Source organism: Homo sapiens, chromosome 15 (genome assembly GCF_000001405.40).
Source record: "Homo sapiens chromosome 15, GRCh38.p14 Primary Assembly".
Taxonomy (NCBI): Eukaryota; Metazoa; Chordata; class Mammalia; order Primates; family Hominidae; genus Homo; species Homo sapiens.
In genome coordinates, this window is record NC_000015.10 from 25,471,037 (window position 1) to 25,493,893 (window position 22,857).

General features: G+C 40.3%; 1 long non-coding RNA gene across 3 annotated transcripts in view, besides 2 other annotated features; it reads right to left on the reverse strand.

Annotated features, from left to right (window-relative positions):
- Positions 1-22,857, reverse strand: part of LINC02250 (long intergenic non-protein coding RNA 2250) — a 122,536-nt gene that overhangs the window by 14,766 nt on the left and 84,913 nt on the right. Inside the window, exons 5-7 of one of the 3 annotated variants that reach the window (NR_187214.1) lie at positions 6,861-7,128; positions 2,872-3,076; positions 2,547-2,748 (exon numbers count right to left, since the gene is read on the reverse strand). The exons of 1 other annotated variant lie outside the window; for it this stretch is intronic. This is a non-coding gene — a long non-coding RNA (long intergenic non-protein coding RNA 2250). Of the gene's footprint in view, positions 1-2,546; positions 2,749-2,871; positions 3,077-6,860; positions 7,129-13,794; positions 15,803-22,857 lie in introns of those variants that run through there. One more of the 3 variants, NR_187216.1, reaches the window with a different exon arrangement.
- Positions 10,011-10,550: an enhancer, noted in NCBI's record as "NANOG-H3K27ac hESC enhancer chr15:25726194-25726733 (GRCh37/hg19 assembly coordinates)". NCBI's record gives its function as "activates a minimal SCP1, AML or CMV promoter by ChIP-STARR-seq in primed H9 embryonic stem cells {active_cell/tissue: H9 hESC(primed)}" and the evidence as "EXISTENCE:reporter gene assay evidence [ECO:0000049][PMID:30033119]".
- Positions 10,546-10,840: a silencer, noted in NCBI's record as "tiled region #718; K562 Repressive non-DNase unmatched - State 24:Quies". NCBI's record gives its function as "represses a minimal TATA promoter and a strong SV40 promoter by Sharpr-MPRA in K562 cells {active_cell/tissue: K562}" and the evidence as "EXISTENCE:reporter gene assay evidence [ECO:0000049][PMID:27701403]".

A 22,857-nucleotide genomic window follows, 5' to 3' on the forward strand; every position in this document is an offset into this window, starting at 1 on the left:
GATTATAGTCATTTTATTTAAAATAAAAATAAACATTTTAAATGGTTACATTGGACATTTTTATTAAAATTTTGTTTTCAGATTATAAAAGTAATACATGCCACAATTCTTCAAGATCTATTCCACCTATATAGAGAAAATACTGTGTGTGCCTATTCACATATTCAACAAGTTTTGGTCCTTTTCTATGTACTAGACACTCTTTTAGGTGCTGGGAATACAAAATTTAAAAGAACTATTCTCATCTTTCAGAAACAGGCAGTCTACAGAAAAATGTGCTCAAATACAATAAAAATCCTGCATGCTGTGAAAGTAGCCTGTGCACAGGGAGAGCAAAGAGGAGACAGAAGTTAGGGGAGCAAGAGAGTGTAGGGAGGCTTCCTGGGGCAGCGAGAATTGGAGGCCAGTTCCAAAGCAGGAGTGGTTGTTGGGGGTGGGATCGGGGGAAGTGGGTGGGCAGGGAGACTCCAGGCAGATGGAACAGCATATGAAAAGGCGTGGAGATATGAGAGGGTATTGGCTGGAGGTGGGCTACTACCAAGTGATGAAACTGGAGAAGTTAATCAGGAAGGCAGCTTGTGAAGGATCTGTGTGCTCGAGAGTGAATCTGATTTCAAATGTGAACAAGACTTTCAGATGTATGACTTAGCCCATTTAGACATCCTCTGAGGTAGAGAGCATAGGTTTATTCTAAGATTGGCTCCTCATTCCATTGGCTAACCTTGGTATTTATCAAAGCCTGTGAGCCTAGGTAGCCTCTGTTATACAAACCGTACCCATCCTCATTTGAGGTAGTATCATTGTCATCAAAAGAAACTTTAGGACAGAAAACAAGCCAGATAAGCACAATGAGCCCTGGCTGAGCATCCAAGGAACCCACACCTGGCCGGCCTGGAGAGAAGCAGGTGATGATCTTGAGAGGTCTCATTTATATGGTGGGAGAAGGCTACTCAGAGGGTTAAAAAAAATGAGATGATAACTAACTAGTGCTGGGACAGAGATTTTCATGGATATTCCCCAAATACTAAGGTTTAACTACTCTTTAAACTGTCTCATAGATCTAAAGGTCAATTTATTGGCTAAATAATAGTAGCTGATATGGTTTGGCTGTGTCCCCACACAAATCTCATCTTGAATTGTAGCTCCCATAATTCCCATGTGTTGTGGGAGGGACCTGGTGGGAGATAATTTAATCATGGGAGTGGTTTCCCCCATACTGTTCTCATGGTAGTGAATAAGTCTCATGAAAGCTAATGGTTTCATGAGGGGAAACCCCTTTTACTTGGTTCTCATTTTTCTCTCTTGCCTGCTGCCATGTAAGATGTGCCTTTCACCTTCTGCCATGATTGTGAGGCCTCCCTAGCCAGGTGGAACTGTGAGTCCATTAAACCTCTTTTTCTTTATAAATTATCCAGTCTCAGGTATGTCTCTATCAGCAGTGTGAAAACAGGCTAATACAATAGCTAATATCTATTGAGCATGTTCTCTGTGCCAGGGGCTTGCTGAGTTTTCATGAGATACAATACGAGAGCAACCACTTTCCCAATCCTAGCTCTCCAATAAAGATGGCATAAGCTGCTCAATGCAAGTATGGGCACATTTTACCCTCTTAATGGGAGAAAAATTTTTAAAGTGATGAAGACCAGCACGAAAATGCTCAAGGTGAAATGGCCAGAAACATAGTGTGAGTCTAGTTTTGTCCATATATGAAAGAAACGCAAAAGCATAAATTGTATTCATCTCTGGGAAGTGGAAGCCAAGTAATGTGTAGTTCCTTCTTTAGACTTTCTTCTAGAATGAACAGAAACTATTTTTATAATAAAATAATGTTGTTGTTTTTTTATAAAAGGATGATTTTATCTGGCTGAATTGGAGCCCAGAAGTTGTGAAGGAAAATAATCCTCATGTTTCTCTAACATGCCCCCATGCCATTGAACCCTGAGTGTGTGTTTGCATCTGTTGCTATGCAGAAGAGTTTTTATTCTGTCACTGGGGTTAGTTTTTGTTGAGTCAGGGGGGCAGAGACTGGATTTGAGTTTCCACAGTTAGAAGGAGACGGGAAATGAACAGAGCTACTTTTTATGGAAGACTTGGTAGAGAAGAGAGGTCAGAAGTTGACAAAACTATCAAAGAAAGACTAGATGACTCTAGAGCAGAATTGTATGGGGGTCATGAGACTGAAGGTGGCATTAAGTAGGAGCAGCCCACTGTCCTCACCTCTGACAGCACCGAGCACCCAGGAGGATCCTAAGACTGCAGGCTGGGCATGGCTGGTGTTGTCACATAATGGGCAGGGGTGGGGTGAGAGGAGTGGGGCTTCTTTTGGGTAGGTAGGTATGTGATAGGTTTGTCTGGATGGTGGAAGCTGAAGCTGAAGACCTGGGTAAGGGATGGCTTGATTTCAAACCAAGAAGGGTGGCCTCATTTTGTGATCACAGGCTGATGGAGGCTCAGTGTGAGGTTATGTTGCTAGGAAACGGAAAGAAGATGCATTTATAAGCAAGTAAGAACTTCTGCAACCATTGGAATGCAGCCCAAAGCTTGGCACAGTTTTTGGTTGGTTTTATGGTTCTGATAAGCACCAGAGTATACAAAGCAGCTGGAGACTGCTAGGGTCCCTATGAAGGAAGGTGGCAGATGTGCTGACTGACATACACCTACCGGCCCCCATGGGACTTTTATGGCCATGAGCGTTAGGGAGCCACACCTCCCTGTGAAAGACACGACCACAGTCATCTGCTGTAGCTCCTGCAAAAAGTGAAGTGAAAATTGATTGACTTAAACATTGGATCTTATGAATAAAAACTTCCAAATGTGACTGGTGAAACCCAACTTAAATCTGGACCCACCAAAAGTTAACGTGATACCCACAGATTTGATGAGCGCTCTGAGGGGTCCTGCGTTCTTCTCATATGGCCACGGACTTATGAGGTTTCTCTTCCACTTCCTTCAGGACAGATGCTAATGTCAATTTCAAAATCAGCATAAGGACCCCTTTCTGACAAAGTTCACTTTTACTGAGAGAGTGCTATTTTCAGACAGACTTGAAGAGTGTAAATTTGCCATTACACTATTTCTGGAATGAGGAAAGGAATAAAGTGGGTACATTTTTAAAAACCTATCTATCCCATTTCAGTGTTTATTGTTATGATATGTAGAAGAAATATAGCTGCTGTTTAAAAAGTGATTTACCATTTAATCAATGAAAGTAGCTTCTCGTGGGCCTAACACCACCCTGTCACTTCCTCAGAGGCTGTCGCCCCCATACTGGGGTATGAGGACAGCCTTGGTGCTGTAACAGGACTGTTCTGGGGCCTCTGGAAGGATCTGCAGTGTTCCCCCAGAGTGTTCTCTTGGATTGCTCCAGGGATACAGAGTGCTGTTGACAGAGGACTGTGTGATAGGTAGCACCCGATGCCCCCTTAGACTGTTGTAATGCACAGCTGGTCATTTAAGAGCCCTGAGAAGTCCTTGGATCATGGAGTATTTGCAAGTCTAACGGGAGGCACTTGGTGAATGTTTCATAGGTGTGCTTGAAAAAAAAAGAGAGTATTCTGCCATTACTGATTGGAATGTACTTAGGCATCTATTAGGTTCTAATAGGTCCTGTGTTGTTTGGTTCTTTTATGTCTTTGATGATTTTCTGTCTAGTAGTTTTATTCTCAATTTTGGTATAAACTTTTGATGATCCTTCCTCCTTACAGCTGCTCTGAATATTCTACTGAACTTGATTTCACTATACACAAATTTTGCATAAGTCTAGAGCAGTATATTAGAATTATCTGTGAGCTTTAAGAGATGCATATGCCTGAACCATATTCCAGACCAATTTAAGTCAGATTCCCTAGGGGTGGGTCCTAAGAATCTGCCCTTTAAAATCTCCCTAGGTGGCTCTATTGTGCATTCAGGATTGAGGACCACTGGATAGAGGCTATACAACGTGATCCAATTCACGTGTTCCAGGTAACAGACCTGGGTGAAGCCACGAGACCACATCCACTGTGTCTAGAGCAGCATTGTCCAGTAGAGCTGTCTGAGAGGGTGGAAGCTGTGTCTGTGTTGTCTAATGTGGCAGCACTCACCACACACTGCTGTTGGGCACTTAAAATGTGGGGAGTGAGACTGAGGAACTGAATTTTTAATTTGATCTTTATTTTAAGTAATTTAAATTTAAATAGCTGCATGTGGCTAGTGACTACTGTAGGCAGCTCTAGATCCATGTAATTTTTGTCTTATTTTACCAAAAAAAGAAATACATTTTCACCCGAACTTCCAATGATAAATGATTTTAAGTGGAAGTACTCAGTTAAAAATGTGTTCTTTTATATCAAATAGTACATGTATCAGCAAAACACGTGAATTGATATTGTTTCTTCTCTGTGGAGAAGTGAGACTTTAGAAAACAATTCAATGTGCCTCTATGATTACAAAATTGCACCTTGGAAAATATTTGTAAATGATTGTGCTGAGGAATAACACTTGTCCTGAGAAATAAACTTACATTTTCTTTCAAATACATGCCTGTTATCTGTGGCTTTTAAAACTTATTGGGGGCTGGGCACGGTGGCTCATGCCTGTAATCCCAGCACTTTGGGAGGCCAAAACAGGTGGATCACCTGAGGTTAGGAGTTCAAGACCAGCCTGACCAACATGGTGAAACCCTGTCTCTACTAAAAATACAAAAATTAGCTGGGCGTGGTGGCACATGCCTGTAATCCCAGCTACTCAGAAGGCTGAGGCAGGAGAATTGCTTGAACCCAGAAGGCGGAGGTTGCAGTGAGCCTAAAAACTGTCTCACTCCCACCTGGGCAACAAGAGTGAAACCCCATCTCAAAAAACAAACAAACAAAAAAAAAAAAACAACTTACTCTGAATTCCCCAATTACATTGTTCATCTCTCCATTTCATAAGGCTTGTAGTTTCCAGGAGCACAATTGTAACGGTAAAAAAATGTTCAAACCCAACTGTGTTGGACTCAGAATGCTTGCAATCACTCTGTCACCTGTAATCAAGGTGCTGTGATAAGATGCATTTGTATTGGCTGTTCAGTGTTTCCTACATGACTGACATAAGTTTGTATGGTGAGCCAGGCCATGAACTCTTGGCACTAGGGAGTAATTCCTTAAACACTGGCAAAATTCGTTGCAAGATAAATCCTAAGTGCATGTATTTTACACCATAAATTTGAGGTAGCAGGAAAACAAGCTACTCTTCATTTTGAAGTATTTATTCATTCTCTGATCTTTTTTTTTTTTTCTTGAGGTGGAGTTTCGCTCTTGTCCCCCAGGCTGGAGTGCAATGGCATGATCTTGGTTCACTGCAGCCTCCACCTCCTGGATTCATGCGATTCTCCTACCTCAGCCTTCCGAGTAGCTGGGATTACAGGTGCCCACCAGCAGGCCCAGCTAATTTTTGCATTTTTAGTAGAGACAGGGTTTCACCATGTTGGCTGGGCTAGTCTGGAACTCCTGATCTCAGGTGATCCACCCGCCTCGGCCTCCCAAAATGCTGGGATTATAGGCGTGAGTCACTGTGCCCGGCCTTCTCTGACTATTTTTAAATGCTAATTTTTAGTGTTGGGAAGAAAAACTAGGAAAAGGAGTGCTTTATCATAAGCTCATCAAGAAAAAGGGTTATGATAAAATTATTTTGGTTTTGGTTCTTTATAAAATGTTTCTGAAAAATTGAAATAATAAATACAATGTATCACGACAGCACGAAAGTCAGATGTTAATTTTTCCATATTTTGTTATTCAACAGAAAATCATTAATGATATGCAAAAACTAGGAGGAAGTGTTTAAAAAATAATGGGAAACTATTAATTCTCACTTTCCATAGCTCCTTTCAGCTTCTGAAACTAAGAACATTAATTTTCACTCAAGCCTGTCCAAGTCCTAAGAAAATCGTAACCAATCCTAAGCCCATATCAATAGGCTCTTCACCAGTTGGTTAAATCTGAATCAGTCTGTAGCCAAGAGTCTGTTGTGTGTATCCCAAGCAGGGCCCAGACAGAGGAAGAGAGAAATCCTGAGTCCATGCACCTGCCAAGTTTCAGTTTTCTTCTGTTCCAGTCTTTCTGGCATCCATTTCAGGTGCCGCTGACCTAGGGGGAAGGGCTACTGTAACCCACTTGAGAGGATGGTCAGCCATCACTCAAATTAACACACTTAGAAGGGCCCAGGAGAATCAGGTTTGTCTGGCGTTCAGCATAACTGTTAGAAAGTGCTAAGAAGCAGAGGGGTGTTTTTTGGTGTTCCTGCAGGCCTGGGAGAGTGGGCTCTTTGCCCTCTGGGGTGAGCTTTTCTCTGCTCTCACCTACACTGACAGATCTGCCATTTCTTGTACTACATCTGCCCTCATTGTCTTCCAGTCTCAAAGGATTGAGTGTCCTTCCCCTGTTGGAAGCTGGCCTACTCAGACTACCATGGTGGCACCAAGCTTTTACACTAAGGACGTTGTGAAAAATGAGAATTTCTGGGCCTTTCCCCCTTTGTGTTCTGATGCTGGGTGTTGCCCAGGGATTTTTGTCTTTAGCCCCCCCAGGAGAACTTCCCATAGGATTTGGTGGGCCTTCCTTGAGAAATACTCCCTGCTCCATGGAGAGTAACCATCCTCTCCATATTCATTTATTTTTATTGAGTCATTCCCTACTCTGTAAGTATGCTCACTTCCCCACTGAAAACAGAATCCTCTCTCAACACCTCTTCTCTGCATTCCTTTATAGTTGACTTCTCCCGAAGAAACAAACCCCATGCTTGTTGCCTGTTTCCCCACCTTTCTCCTCAGTTCTCTGCAGTCCAGTGTTTGTCCCCAGTACTCCACATTTACTCTTATTATCCTCCAAACAAACAAAACTCACCAGTCAGCTCCAATCCAGACCCTCCAACAAAGCCTGCAGAGCCCCGTTCCTGCCCCCTGGTCACGTGCAGCCCTGTCCTGTTCCTTGCTGTCTGCTGCCTTAGGGTCCCGGCTTCCGTATAGCTTCCTGATGTGCAGAGCCCTTTTCTGCCTCAGGCCTTTGCACTGCAGCTGTCTGGAGCTTATGCCCCCCACCGCAGGCTTCCTCCTCACAAGGGACTATGTCATGTTCTTGGTGTGACAGCATCCATATCAGAAAGAGGCCTTGCCTGTGAATGTGATTTAAAGCAGCTATCATTCTCTCTCTTATAGCTCCTGTTATTTTCCTTCAGAGTGCATTTCCTAATTTATATATGTTTTAACAAATTTATTGATACTTCCCCTCACTAGATTCTGAGTTTTGAAAGGCTAGTGGCCTTACTCGTGTAGTTCATCACTGTACCAAACCCAGTTCCTGAAACATGGTAGATGCTTTACTTGGAGACATAGTGAACCAATGATGCTGTTTTGATGGAGGCCAACTAATGACTCCCTAATTTCCACCTTCTCCACCTGAATGCAGAGCTGCCTGGGTGAGAGACCATGGCAAGCGATGACTCTGCAGAAAATCTGTGACTTAATATTTGCCCTGAGTGTTCTCAGTTCTCTGACAAACAAAGCCAGACACCCGGCACTTCACATCACTGTGGCTGATCCCACTGGTAGAAAGGCCTTGGGGAATGTTGTGTTTTAATGATTTCACTGAAAATAAAACTAAAAGCCTAGTTTCTTCCTTTGTACAGAAAAATGGTACTGCTGATGTTAACCTTGTGATTACAGGATAATTTCAATAAATTGCTAGAGACTTTTTGTTTTTTTTTTTGTCTTTGCAGAGTGAATGAAATACAGAGAGAACTACATCCTCCACTTCCTGTGTAGCATTGAGGTATTCAGATCCCCCTTAGGAAAGAAGGTTTCAGGAGCTTTGCCTCTCAGCATCCCTGTACACACAGCCTGGTTCCTGAGCACAGTGCCTGTCGTGTTCCCATCTAAGCCTCATTTCCTTTCCTTCTTTAGGGACATGAATCTGCTAGCAATAAAAATATCTAACTGGGTAATAATGTATGCAGGGTACACTGTTAGTGTTCCTAACTGCTGTTAAATGGTGATGGGCGTTAACTGGCATTTTGAATACAGCCCTTACAAAGCCTTTTTTTTTTTTTTTTTCCCCACTAAAGCTGGTGCCTGCGCAGGTGTCTAAAAAACATGCACAACCCCACAATGGAAACTGCAACAAGTTCCTAGTCCCTTCAAGAAGCTTTCTCAGCACATGAGACACTCTGAATGAGAGTCTGGACATTTGGTTGTTTTATTATTTAAGAATGTCTTAGAATGTAATAGAAATGAAATATAAATAAGAAATATAATTATGGCAAAGAAAGAAAGTAAATGACCACTATTGCTAAATGGCAAGGCTAGAAAACCCATGAGAGTCCCTTGTCCAGCATTAGTTTAGTAGAGATGGATACAAAATAAATAAGAAAAATCACTATAATACAGTTGGTTTCCTATGTGCTTCCTGGGATGTGCTTTACACACATCAAGCCCCTGTGATGCTGAGCAGAAACAGGGGCTTCAGGTTCACACAGGTCAGCTCTTGAGTACGTCTTTGCTACTCCTTGCAATTTCCATTATCACTGCCAACTTATCTGGGTCCTTCATACAGTTCATGTGAATTATTGGTAGTGAATAGCTCTTAGTGCTAGGACTTAGTAGCTGGTCAAATGAGGAGGGGAAGGACAAAGAGGCTGTTCATAAATGTACTGAGCATCTACTAATCTGTATCAGGCCTTGTCCCAGATGCCAGGGTGGGACTGATGAAGACCTAGGGTAGACTCTGAGGACACACAGGGAAGGGTGTGCTGAAGCTCTCGGGTTTGATAATGGGCATGTAAACGGGATTCACAGAGAAGAGCAGGTTTGGGTGAAAGATGGTGAGTTCAGACATGGGCACTAAGGACTTGGATTTCCACATGATGATGACTGGCAACACCCCCAAATAAAAGACCAGAGCAGAAGCAGGGGCCAGAGTCTGAGATGGGGACTCAGGAGCCAGGCCCAAAGTGGTCCCTGAAGTCCTGTGAGTGGATGAGTTTGCTAAGAACATTCAAACAGAAAAGGAGAAATTAGTGAGATTAGAAGCTTCCAGAGATCTCATGAATTAGTCTGCAGGAAGAAATAAAATCATAGAGGAAATAGAGCTGAAATCATCAGTAAAGTTTGCAAGCCAGGCAAGTGCCCAAGAAACAAGGCCAGAGAGAGTTCCTCGAAGCAGATGGGCACAGTGACAAGTGCGGTAAAAGGAAAGGCAGCTAAGCCAGAAAATGGCTTTGACTGACCTGGTGCTGAGAGATGCTGGGGTGAGTTGCTCAGTAGAGCAATGGAGGTGAAAATTGTCCACCAAGGGCTAGGGAGTCAGGGGGTGGGGAGGCAGAGGCCATACAGGATCTGTATGGGGAATGGGGGATAGGGTGGTAGATGGAAAGGGAAATGTGGGAGAAAGGGAGAGGCTGATAATGCTGGGCGACAGCGGATGACCCACCAAGTGCAGGTTGGACTGCAAAGGAAAGTGGCAAGAGAGGAGAAAGGGGAAGATAAGAAGGCATGAGATAAGATGGAAAGAAGAGAAAGTGGAGAGAGCTTTCCTTGGCTGTTCTTGACTATTTTACAAAACTGAGAGGATGGTAATTTGATAAAAATGGAGGGGGCAGAAATGTCCCTGTGGGCTTGAAGGGACCATCCCGTTAGACAATACACAGGAAAGTCAAGAAAAGATGAACAAAGTTGAGCACTGTGCAGTCACTCTGAGGGCCAAATTACAGTTAGCATGAATTTTGGGAATCCAAATAACACAGCTTTGTGACTTTCTTCAGAAATCCTTGGGCAAGAAAATGCAGAAAAGAATTGGGTTGGAAAGCAACAATTCTAAGGCCCCCAGAGGGTCTAGTGGTTTACAGTGCTGACCATGGGGTCCAGCCTGGGCAGAGGGGAAATTGATGGCCGAAAGGGGAGGAAAAGCCAGATCAGGGAAGATCTTAGGGACAGCAGACTCTGAACTGAGGTGAATACCTCTCTTCCCTTAGAGGGAGATGCACCACTTCAAGGGTCTGTGAGGCTCCTCTCCATATCTGCTTGCTGGCGGGTGAGCAGGAGTGGTTGCCCAGGTAGTCCCAGAGAAGCCCATACTCCTGACGGTGGTTTCCCTTACCCAGGCTCAGGTCTCCCTTGTCTTAAACCAATGTCTACCCCAGAGAAGAGGCTGCTGCCCTAATTATAGAGTACAGATTGACTAAACCATACCCTTAATGTCTGTCAATACTGATAAACTACCAAATGTATACAGGTGATTAATAACAGTACTCCCCTCATGATGACATGATCTTGCACCAGTGTTTTATATATATATACACACACACACCGAGTCACTGGCCTAACCTGTTTAGTCTCCTGGAGAATTTAAGTGGCAGCAGGGGAGAGCTGTGCCTTTTGTGTGTCCTGAAAGGCACATACAACCCCTGCAGCCTGCGGGTTAAGATGGAAGATTATAATTAATCACAAAGATGTGGCTGAACGCGCAGTGTTCTTCCTTCTGCTGCTTCCTGCTGCCAGGGAAAGAGCCAGTGGCCTCTAAACGACCCGTGAGAGCAGCTCTGTTGCCGTGTGCAGCATTGGCTTCAGATCCTTCTTCCTCAGTCCTGCCTCCCTGCAGTTTTGGCTTTCCTTTTTCTGTGCTTTTTCTCTTGACTTGCCAAATTTGGGCTTAGTCAGGGCTGTGGTGTTAACGCTCCTAATGAGCCAGCTCACGCCGACTCAGAGCCTGAGCAGCGGTAATCAGAGCTGAAGACAAAAGCAGGGGCGGAGGCACGCGTCCAGGTGTGCTTTCTGCAGTGCCTCTCTTTGTCCAAACATTTTACAGACTCCAGAGGGGAGAGGGCAGGGACAATGTGAGAAGCAATGAACTCCCCAAGGAAATTACTGTTTCAATAAAGAAGGAAGATTGCAAGCTGCACTCTGTACGTGTAGATGAGTGTGTGCTCATGTTTTAAAACTCTGAACATGCAAATTATTATTATTTTTTATTATACTTTAAGTTCTGGGATACATGTGCAGAACCTGCAGGTTTGTTACATAGGTATACACGTGCCATGGTGGTTTGCTGCACCCATCAACCCGTCATCTACATTAGGTATTTCTCCTAATGTTATCCCTCCCCTAGCCCCCCACCCCCGCGACAGGCCCTCGTGTGTGATGTTCCCCTCCCTGTGTCCATGTGTTCTCATTGTTCAACTCCCACTTACGAGTGAGAACATGCAGTGTTTGGTTTTCTGTTCCTGTGTTAGTTTGCTGAGAATGATGGCTTCCAGCTTCAGCCTTCCTTACACCTTATACAAAAATTAACTCAAAATGGATTAAAGACTTAAATGTGGCCAGGCTGGGTGGCTCACACCCGTAATCCCAGCAATTTGGGAGGCCGAGGTGAGTGGATCACCTGAGGTTGGGAGTTTGAGACCAGCCTGACCAACATGGAGAAACCCTGTCTCTACAAAATATACAAAACTAGCCGGGCATGGTGGCACATGCCTGTAATCCCAGCTACTCGAGAGGCTGAGGCAGGAGAATTGCTTGAATCTGGGAGGCAGAGGTTGCAGTGAGCCGAGATTGCACCATTGCACTCTAGTCTGGGCAACAAGAGTGAAACTCTGTCTCAAAAAAAAAAAAAAAAAAAAAAAAAGACTTAACATAAGGCCTAAAACCATGAAAACCCTAGAAGAAAACCTAGGCAATACCATTCAGCACATAGGCATTGGCCTAAAACATCAAAAGCAATGGCAACAAAAGCCAAAATTGACAAATGGGATCTAATTAAACTAAAGAGCTTCTGCACAGCAAAAGAAACTATCACGAGTGAACAGGCAGCCTACAGAATGGGAGAAAAGTTTTGCAATCTATCCATCTGACAAAGGGCTAATATCCAGAATCTACAAGGAACTTAAACAAATTTACAAGAAAAAATCAACCCCATCAAAAAGTGAGTGAAGAATATGAACAGACACTTCTCAAAAGAAGACATTTATGTGGCCAACAAACATATGAAAAAAAGCTCATCACCACTGGTCATTAGAGAAATGCAAATCAAAACCACAATGAGACACCATTTCACACCAGTTAGAATGGCGATCATTAAAAAGTCAGGAAGCAAATTATTTTTAATTGAAATTTGTATCGATCTAATTCCAGATTCATATGCAATTATAAGAAATAATACAGGCAGGGCACAATAGCTCATGCCTGTAATCCCAGCATTTTGGGAGGCCAAGGCAAAAGGATCCCTTGAGCCCAGGAGTTCAAGACCATCCTGGGCAACACAGCAAGACCCTGTCTCCATAAAAAGTAAAAAAATAAAAAATAAATTAGCCGAATTAGTGGCACGTGCCCATAATCCCAGCTACTCAGGAGGCTGAGGCAGGAGGATCACTTGAGCCCAGGAGACTGAGGCTGCAGTGAGCTGTGATCATGCAACTGCACTCCATCGTGGGTAAGAGTGAGACCCTGTCTCAAAACAAAATAAAATAAAGAAGAAGTAATATATAGAGATCCCATATTCACTTTCCCAGTTTTCTGTAATGGTAATATTTTGCAAATTTATAGTGTAATATCACAACCAAGATATTGACATTGATACAATCCCCCATCGATCTCAGATTTCCCCAGTTTTGTTTATACTCATTTGTGCATGTGTGTATGTCCGTGCATATGGTGTTTAGTTCTACACAATTTTATCACGTGTAGGGTTGTGTTTCCACCACCACAATCAAAATACTGAAATTTTCATCACCACTAGAACGGCTTGTGTTGCCCTATTATACCTAAATCCACTTCCCCATAGGATTCCCCATTGCCACCCCAGCCTTCAACCTCTGGCAACCACTGTTCTCCAATTCTAAAGTTTTATTTCAAAAAATGATATGGAAATGGAAACATACAGTATGAAACATTTGGGATTTTTTTTTCACTTAGCCTAATTGTCCTGGGATCCATTAAGTCATTGTGTATATCAATAATTCATTCCTTTTCATTCCTGAGTAGTATTTCATGGTATGGATGAACCACTTTGTTTAATCATTGACCCTTTCAGTCTAACTATATCTGCCAATCTCTTTTTATTGCTGTTTAAATTATTGATATTGATAAGTATTTATATGTTGGTGCTTAAGTCTACCTTTTTAATTATTTGTTTTCTGTTTGATTTCTGGTTCTCATTCCTCTGTTTATTTTCTTACCTTCCTTAGGTTATTTGAATAATTGTTTTGGATTCTACCTTGATGTGTTGTTAGTGTTTTTTTTGTTTTGTTTTGTTTTTTATACGGAGTCTTGCTCTGTCACCCAGGCTGGAGTGCAGTGGCATGATCTCGGCTCACTGCAAGCTCCGCTCCCGGGTTCACGCCATTCTCCTGCTTCAGCCTCCTGAGTAGCTGGGACTACAGGCACCCGCCACCACGCCCAGCTAATTTTTTTGTATTTTTAGTAGAGACGGGGTTTCACCGTGTTAGGCAGGATGGTCTCAATCTCCTGACCTTGTGATCCGCCCGCCTCGGCCTCCCAAAGTGCTGGGATTGCAGACGTGAGCCACCGCGCCCGGCTGTATTGTTAGTGTTTCTGTGTTTTGAATATATTTCTTTGTATAGCTTGTTTTTAGTGGGAAAAAAGTTCTTGCTGTGTTGTCCCCATTGGTCTGGAACTCATGGGCTCAAGTGATCCTCCTGCCTTAGCCTCCCAAAATGCTGGGATTACAGGCATAAGCCACCATGCCCGGCTGGCTTGAGTATTTTACGGTGTTAATGTTTTTGTTTCAATCATCAAATGTGATTTAGAAAAATCATAAGGAGGATAGTCTATTGCATGTACTCATATTTTTATTTCTTTAAAAAAATTTTTTTAGACACAGTCCTGTTCTGTCACCCAGGCTGGAGTCCAGTGGTGCAATCATAGCTCACCGCAGCCTTGACCTGCCTCAGCCTTGTGAGTAGCTGAGACCACAGGCGTGTGCCACCATGCCCGGCTTCCATATTTTCATTTCTGTTGTTTCTTCTTCTTTTCTGATGCTTCAGGATTCCCTCTTACAGTTCCTTGCTGTTTGATAAATTATCCAATCTTTAAGGATAAGTCTCCTAGGCACAAATTTTTCTTTCATTTGAGAATGTCTTTATTTTCTCTTCATTCCTGAAGGATAGTGTTCCCAGACATAAAATCTGTGGTTGAATTTTCTTTTCACTTCAAATACACGAAAAATGTTGTGCCATTTTCTTCTGGGTTCCACTGTTTCAGATAAGAAATCTACTGTCATTTCCATCATTCTTCCCCTATGGGTGATTTGTCATTTTTCTCTAGTTTCTTTCAAAATGTTTTTTCTTTGTCTTTGGTATGGATTTCTTGGGCTTATCATATTTGGGATTCACTCAGATTCTTGAATCCATAGGATTGTGTGTGTTGCCAAACTTCAGAAGTTTTCAGTCTACTCCTTCTTTCAGCCCCACTCTCTTTTCTCCTCTTCATCTGAGACTCTGATGACAGAAATGTTAGATCTATTTTACAGTTCCATAGGTCCCTGAGAATATCCTTAATATTTATTAAGGATATTTTCTGATTGTTCAGATTGGTTACTCAAATTAGGCAAATTATATCCTCAAGTTCAGCGATTCTATCCTCTGTCATCTCCATTCTACAATTAAACCCATCTAGGAAGTTGTCTTTTTTTTAAGTTTCTGTTATTGTATTTCTTAGTTCTCTAATTTCCATTTGGTCCTTTTGTGTAACTTCTGTTTCTTTGCTGAGATTTTTAAAATTGTTTTTATTTGTTTAACCGAATTTATAATTGATTGTTGAAGCATTTTTATTACAACTGTTTTAAAATCTTCATCAGATAATTCCAAATCTTGCTCATCTCAGTGTTGCTGTCAGTTGACTGTCTTTTCTTATCCAAATTGTGATTTTCTTGGTTCTTGGCAAAATGGGTGATATTTTATTGTATCCGGAACATTTTGTCTATTATATTAAGAAACTCTGGAGTCTGTTAATTTTTTTTAATTTCTTTTTTTTATTTTAGCTGGCAGTCACTCTGTTTAGGTTAAGCACTCAGGTCCTGGATTACTTTTGTGGGCTGTGGTTTTAAATCAGTTATATTTCAGAGACTTTGGTCTTTGTTTATCTATGAGGGCTGGGAATCCCACTCCCTGCTGGTGCTGTTTGAGGGACGGAACAGGTTCTCCCAGGTTGGGCTATGGAGTGTCTCTTGGAGTAGGATGGGAATCTCAGGCCAGTGGGGACAAAGAGGTTTCCTGGGCTGGGCTACTTGTCATAGTGACATCCTTCTGCTGGCTCTGCCCACCCACCAGGCAGGCAGGGAATCTCAGCACAGAGGGGTCTCTTGTTTGTATTTTCACTAGACTGTAGACCTGTGGAGGTAAGACCAAGTCTGGCTCTAGCTCCAGTGTGAAGCACAGAATACAATGTGTAACAGGGTGTGTGTGCTGGGCTGGCTGTGCTATTGTTCTCCAACACCCAAGACCTCTTTGCAATTTGGCTTATTCATATATCTCATATGGGTAACGAAATGCAAGCAGGAAAGAGTATCACTTATAGGTGAAGGCTTTGAGGGCCAGGAGAACCTTTGCTTCACACTCTTTCCTGTGTCATCATCACTGACAATGTTTCAGATGGTAGCTGTTCCATCAACCCACATCTCAGAGTCCCAGAGTAAGAATGCAGACAGCTTGAAGCAGAATCCCTGCAGATCTTGGACGGCATATTACGTGAGTGAGCAGGAAACTTTGTATGTGAATTGCAGCAATTTGGGAAGTTGTTTGTCACCACAGCATCACCTGGCCTATCCTGCAGTGAATTTTGCTTAAAGGAGAAAATGAAGAGGCAAATTTTGTTGGCTCTGGAGAGTACTAGAAATGTATAAAACCACATATCTTAAAAATTACATTCATTAAACATTTTAGTAATTCAGCTTGTATCCTCTTGTTAGACATTAACAATTGGGGTTTTACTCTAGGGAAATGAGAAACCACAGTTTGGTTTGACAGCATCTGTCTGCATTAGAGTACCTTGGTGGTCTGTGAAGACATTTGCAATATAGACTGTTTACAGTTAAAGAGAATTGCGGGGGTCTGGATATTTTCAATTGCCAGAGAAAAGCTTTCCTTCTGTCTGCGCCTCCAGGATGGATTCTAACATTAAGGATTATTGACTTGGTGGCTTTGTGCTTATCCCCAAATTATTTCTGTTCATAGATTTTGCATTTCTTTGTCATTCTTCTGTAAATTTCTGTCTCCATCCTATAGCGTTGTATTGAGTTCTCCATAGGCCAGTAATGGAATCAGCTTATCTTGAACCAGACCGTAATACAGCCTCTGGGTGTGAACAAGGCCACAAGCAAGGAAACTGAATACATCCTAGAGGAAGGAAATTGAGTTTCTGCTGAGGACGTTTAGGTAACATCACAGCACTTGTGTTATTGCTGGATGATGTTTCTTAGATTAAGCTGGCCTTGACACTTTCTCCAATGCTTTTAATACGATTTATTACTGAGGAAAAGATCTGGTCATTTAATAAAGATGCAGAAATACTTTCTGTCAAATTGTAAGGAAGCAATCCGTGTATTTTTGCAATATTGAATTGGTGAAAGTGAAATCACTTTAAAATGAAATTAGAGTGACTCATACACCCCCTGAATCATGGAAATACAGAGACCTGTGGCCAGTTAAACCCCTGAAACAAATTATCCATCCATGGCTGTCCCTAAGCACCCTTTTCTATTAAGGAGACACCTATAGCATCCAGCCTATTGTCTTTTTTATCTTTCTAGCTTTATTTTCTGCTTCCTGTCACCTACTTTTTATACTTGACATTTCAGTGTCCCTAAATCTAGCAATAGAATAGTTTTTTCCTCTGTACATATTGGTCCTTTTCTGCTGTTCTGATCAAGGCATACTGTAGACTTTTTATTTTAAGAATTGTATTATTCTCCAGATAGTTTTCAAGTCTATTGTATAGCTAGACAGAGGGATATGGGGCTAGATTATGTTACAATGCCATAAACCCTCTGTTCTTTCCCACTTTCAGCAGTTTTTCTGGAACAAACTCTCCTCAGATTACTGTAAACCTTTGGTTAATTTCAAGATCTCTTAAATAACTGATTTTTTGACAATTTTGGCTACTGTGTTTATTGCTCTGATGGAAAGGTAGATTCATAGGGATTGTCAACCTACTATTCTGGTGGTAAAATTTTAATAAGTTAAATTATAAGGGAATGTACCCACAAAGATAGTGCATTTTATTTAATAAAAAATTGTTGAGCAGCTAGTATTTACTGGGCAGTGGCCTAGCCACTGAAGATTCAAGTGTGGGAAAGAAACACTTTTGCTCACATTTAGCATTTGCTAACAGAAAGTTTACCATTTTCAAAGGAAATAGACTCGCAGATAGGAAGAAGTAAGCTGAGGAAGGAAATAAGTCTTCCTCTTCAGGACTAAAAAAGGGACAGTTGGCCAGAGAATGGAGTAAAGAGGCTGACACATCCACTTCCATTTACATTTTGGCCAAGCCAGAGAATAAAAACCGTAAGGTCATTGTGAGAGTCCTTCCACATTAAACTTTGCCCCAAATTTTCCATTTTTCACTTTATTTCTCTTAATTTCCATCTGGAGAATAATAAAAGAATCAAATGGCAACTGTAGAGCTAAAACTATCTTAAGTTTTAGCTTAAGATAAGATGAGGCCAGGTGCAGTGGCTCATGCCTGTAATCCCAGAACTTTGGGAGGCCAAATCAGGTGGATTACCTGAGGTTAGGAGTTCAAGACCAGCCTGGCCAACATGGAGAAATCCCATCTCTACTAAAAATACAAAAAATTAGCCAGGCGTGGTGGCAGGTGTCTATAATCCCACCTACTTGGGAGGCTGAGGCAGAAGAATTGCTTGAAGCTGGGAGGCAGAGGTTGCTGTGAGCCAAGATCACACCATTGCACTCCAGCCTGGATGACAGAGCAAGACTCTGTCTCAAAATTAATTAATTAATTAATCAAAACATAAATAAAACTATCATAATGAAATGTAAAATTTCTTAGAGGGTTTCAACAGAAGATTTAATCTTACAGAAGAAAGAATCAATGAGTTTGAAAATAGGTCAATTCAGATTATGCAGCCTGGGAAACAGAAATATATAAAAGAATGAAGAAAAATTAACAGTCATAAATACCTATGGGACACCATCAAGCACACCAACCTACCCATAAAGGCAGTCCAAGAATGAGAGAAATGAGAAAAAGGAGGAGAAGGAATACTTGAGGAAAACAATGACCAAAACATCCCAATTTTGATGGAAGCATTTATGTTCATATCCAAGAATATCAAATTAGATAAACTGAAAGAAATCTACACTTACACATATAATAGGCAAAACTGTTAAAAGACAAATAAGGAATACTGAAGACAGAGAAAAATGACTCATTACATGCAAGTGATCTATAATAAGATTAATAGCTAGCTTTCCATAAAAAAATCATAGAGATGAGAATGCAATGAAATGACATATTCAAAGTGCCAAAAGAAAAAGAATGTCAATCAAGAATTCTATATCCAGCAAAACTATCTTTTATATATAAAGGATAAATTAAAGCTGCTGTAGATTTTAAAAAACTGAGGCCAGGTGTGGTGGCTCATGCCTGTAATCCCAGCACTTTGGGAGGCTGAGGCAGGAGGATCACTTGAGGTCAGGAGTTTGAGACCAGCCTGGCAGACATGGTGAAACCCCATCTCTACTAAAAATTAGCTGGGTGTGGTGGCAGGTACCTGTAGTCCCAGCTACGTGGGAGGCTGAGGCAGGAGAATCATTTGAACCTGCAAGGCAGAAGTTGCAGTGACCTGAGATCACACCACTGCACTCCCACCTGGGCAACAGAGCAAGACTCTGTCTCAAAAAAACCCCAAAAACAAAACTGAGAAAGTTCAGTGGTAGATGACCTGCTCCCCAAGAAACACTGAAGGAAGTATTGCAGGCTGAAATTAAGTGATATTTATTAGTAACTTGAATCCGCATGAGTTTGTAACACTTTACTTTCTGATTTAAAAGACAACTCCACATAGCAATAATTATAAAACTTTGTTGATGAGCTTTTAATGTATATAGTTTCCATGATGCACAATGAAAGGAGAATGGAGCTATATTTAAATGAAGCTTTTGAATACCATTACAATTAAGTTAGTTTAATCTGAAAGATATTGTTACTATGTTATTAACCACTCAAAAATAACTAAAAAAATACATAGTAAAAGGAACAACAAAGAAATTAAAGTTGTACACTAGAAATATATATTACTATAATAAGATATTAATGGGCATGTACAGGGACAGAAACCACATAAAGCATGTGGAAAACAAGTAGCAAAATGGCAGACATAAATCTCACCTTATCAGTAACTACATTAAATATAAATGATTAATTAATACATCAGGTAAAAGACAGTGACTGGCAGAAGAAATAATATAATCCAATTCTATTCTGTCTATAAGAGATACAGTTTAGATTTGAAAACCAAATACATTAAAAGTAAAATGATGGAAAAAGGGATACAATGCAAACAGTAGCCAAAATAGAGCTGAAGTGTCTATACCAATATCAAGAAAAATAGTTTTTAAGACAAAACTTGTTACTAAACACAAAGGATAAGTGACAAAGTGGTAGTGATCCCTCTGGAAAACACAATAATAATAAACATATCTGTACCTAACAACACAAATTTTAAAATACATGAAGCAAACTGACAGAAGGGAGAAATAGACAACTCAGCAATAGTTGGAAACTTTAATATCTCCCTTTCAATAGTGAATAGAACAACTAGGCTGAATACTAAGAAGGAAATAGAACATTTTAACAACACTGTGACACAAATAGACCTAATTGACCATTAGGTATATAAAGCATTAGGTAGACTATGCAAGAAAAAAAAAAGAGAAGACTCAAGTCTTAAAATAAAAAGCCAACCTCACAGAAATAAAAAGATTATAAGGGAAAGTATAAAGACTGTATGCCGGGCCTGGCACGGTGGCACACACCTATAATTCCAGCACTTTGGGAGGCTGAGGTGGGCAGATCACCTGAGGTTGGGAGTTCGAGACCAGCCTGACCAACATGGAGAAACCCTGTCTCTACTAAAAATACAAAAATTAGCTGGGCGTGTGGCACATGCCTGTAATTCCAGCTACTCAGGAGGCTGAGGCAGGAAAATCGCTTGAACTCAGGAGATGGAGGTTGCAGTGAGCCAATATTGTGCCATTGCACTCCAGCCTGGGCAACAAGAGTGAAACTCCATCTCAAAAACAAAACAAAACGAAACAAACAAACTCTATGCCAACAAATTAGATAATCTGGATAAAATGGACAAATTCCTATAAAGATGCCAAGTGCTAAAATTGACTCAGGAAGAAATAGAAAATATAAATAGATCTATTAAAAGTACAGACATTGAGTTAATAATTTGAAAACTTCTCACAAAGGAAATTCTAGGCCCAGGTGGCTTCACTGGCAAATTCTACCAATTATGCAAAAAAGAATACTCGTCTCCTACATACTCTTTCAAAAAGTAGAATACTCATCTCCCCCACTCTTTCAAAGTGGTAAGGAATTTACCCACTTAGTCTATAAGGACAATATTACCCCCAGTGCTAAAACCAGACAAAGACAGCATAAGAAAACTACAGACTGATATCCATTGTGAATATTGACACAAAAATTCTGAATTACTAGCAATTCACATCCAGAATATGTAAAAAGGATGAGAATGACCATGACCACATGGGAATTTCCCCAGGATAAATGTTGGCTTAACATTAAAAAATCAATCAACTTAGTACACCATATTAATAAAATAAAGAACAAAAATCACATGATAATTTGAATAGACACAGAAAAAGCATTGGACAAAATCCAACAGCCTTTCTTTAAAAAAAAAACACTCAACAAACAGAATACAAATTCCTCTTCCAAATAAAGAAGCCTATGAAAAATTCAGAAGTCATATTGTACTTAATGGTAAAAGACTGAATACTTTCCACATAAGATCGTGAACAAAACAAGGATGTTTACTTCTATTTAACATTGTACTGGAAATTCTAGCCTGGGCAATCAAGCAAGAAAGAGAAATAAAATGCTTTCAGAGTAGATAGAAAGAAGTAAAACTATTTCTATTCTAGATGACATGAAAATGCTAGAAATAATATATTTTTAAAACTATTAGAACTAGCAAACAAGTTCTCCTACTTTGCAGGATACCAGGTCAATATACAAAAATCAGTTGTATTTCTAGGCACTAACAATGAACAATGTGAAAATGAAATTAAGAAAAACAATTCTATTCTAATAGAATTAAAAAGAAAATAATTTAGGATAAATTTAATCAAAGAATTATACAAGTTCAAGACTTGTACACTGAAAACTAAAAATTGTCACTGAAAGGAATTAAGGCAAACTTAAATAGATGAAGAAGCACCCCATGTTCACAGATTGAAAGACTTAATATTGCTAAGACAGCAATATTTCCCAAATGGATTTATAGGTTCAATGTAGTCTCCATCAAAATCCTAGCTACCTCTTTTGGGCAGAAATTGACAAGCTTATCCTAAAGTCATAAGAAAATACAAGAGAGCCAGAAGAGCCAAAATAATCTTGAAAAAGAAGAACAAATTTGGAGGACTTACACTTCCCAGTTTCAAAATGTTCTACAAAGCTGTGGTAATCAAGACAGCATGGCACGGTCATAAAGATAGACATATGAATCACTGGGACAGAATTGATCATCTAAAAATAAATTTTCGTATTTATGGTCAAATGATTTTTAATCATGATGCCAAGAAAATTTATTGGGTAAAATAAAAGTCTTTTCAATAAATGGTGTTGGGAAAACTGGATGTCCACAGCAAAAATTAAAAGTTTAATGTGTTCAACATGCCATATACAAAACCTAATTCAAAATTGATCATAGACATAAATGTAAGAGCTAAAATTATAAAATTCAGAAGAAATAGAGAAGTAAATATTTATGACTTTAAGTTAGGTAGTGATTTTTTAGGTATGACCCCAAAAAGCATAAGCAACCAAAGAAACTAAATTGAACTTTCTCAAAATATAATATTTTGTGCTTCCAGGGATACCATCGAGAAAATGAAAAGACTACCTACAGAATAGGAGAAAATATTTGAAATGATATATCTGATAAAAGGCTTGTGTCAAGAATATATAAAGAACTCTTACAGCTCAACTAATAGACAACCCATTTTTTCAATGGGGAAAAGATCTGTATATACATTTTTTCCAAAGAAGATATATGATTACCAATAAACATATTAAATGATTTTCAATGTTATTCATTTTTCATTAGGGAAACACAAATCAAATTTTCAATGAGAAAACTGCCCACTAGGTTGGCTGAAATTTAGAAAGTAAACATTAACAAGTATTGGCAAGGATGTGGAGGAACTGGAATCCTCATATATTGCTGGCATGATTTTAAATGGTGGAGAGAACAGTTTGGTAGAATCTCAGATGTTAATTATAGAGTTTTCATATGACCCATCAATTCTACTCTCATGTATGTACACCAGAAAAATGAAAAATAAAAACATATGTCCACACAAAACTTGCATATCAATGTAAAAAGCAACATGATTTATAATAGTCAAAAACGGAAACAACTCAAATATCCATCAAGTGATGAATGGATAAACAAAATGAGGTACAGCCATACAGTGGAATATTATTTGGTATTTAAAAAGGAATGAAGTACTAATACATGATCTTTCCTCTCTGCCTCTGCCTCCACCCAGATAACAAGAATGACCCCTTCAATGACTATGTAGGTCATGAAAACTGGAAGAAACTTCCAGTAGTTTCTGTCTGCC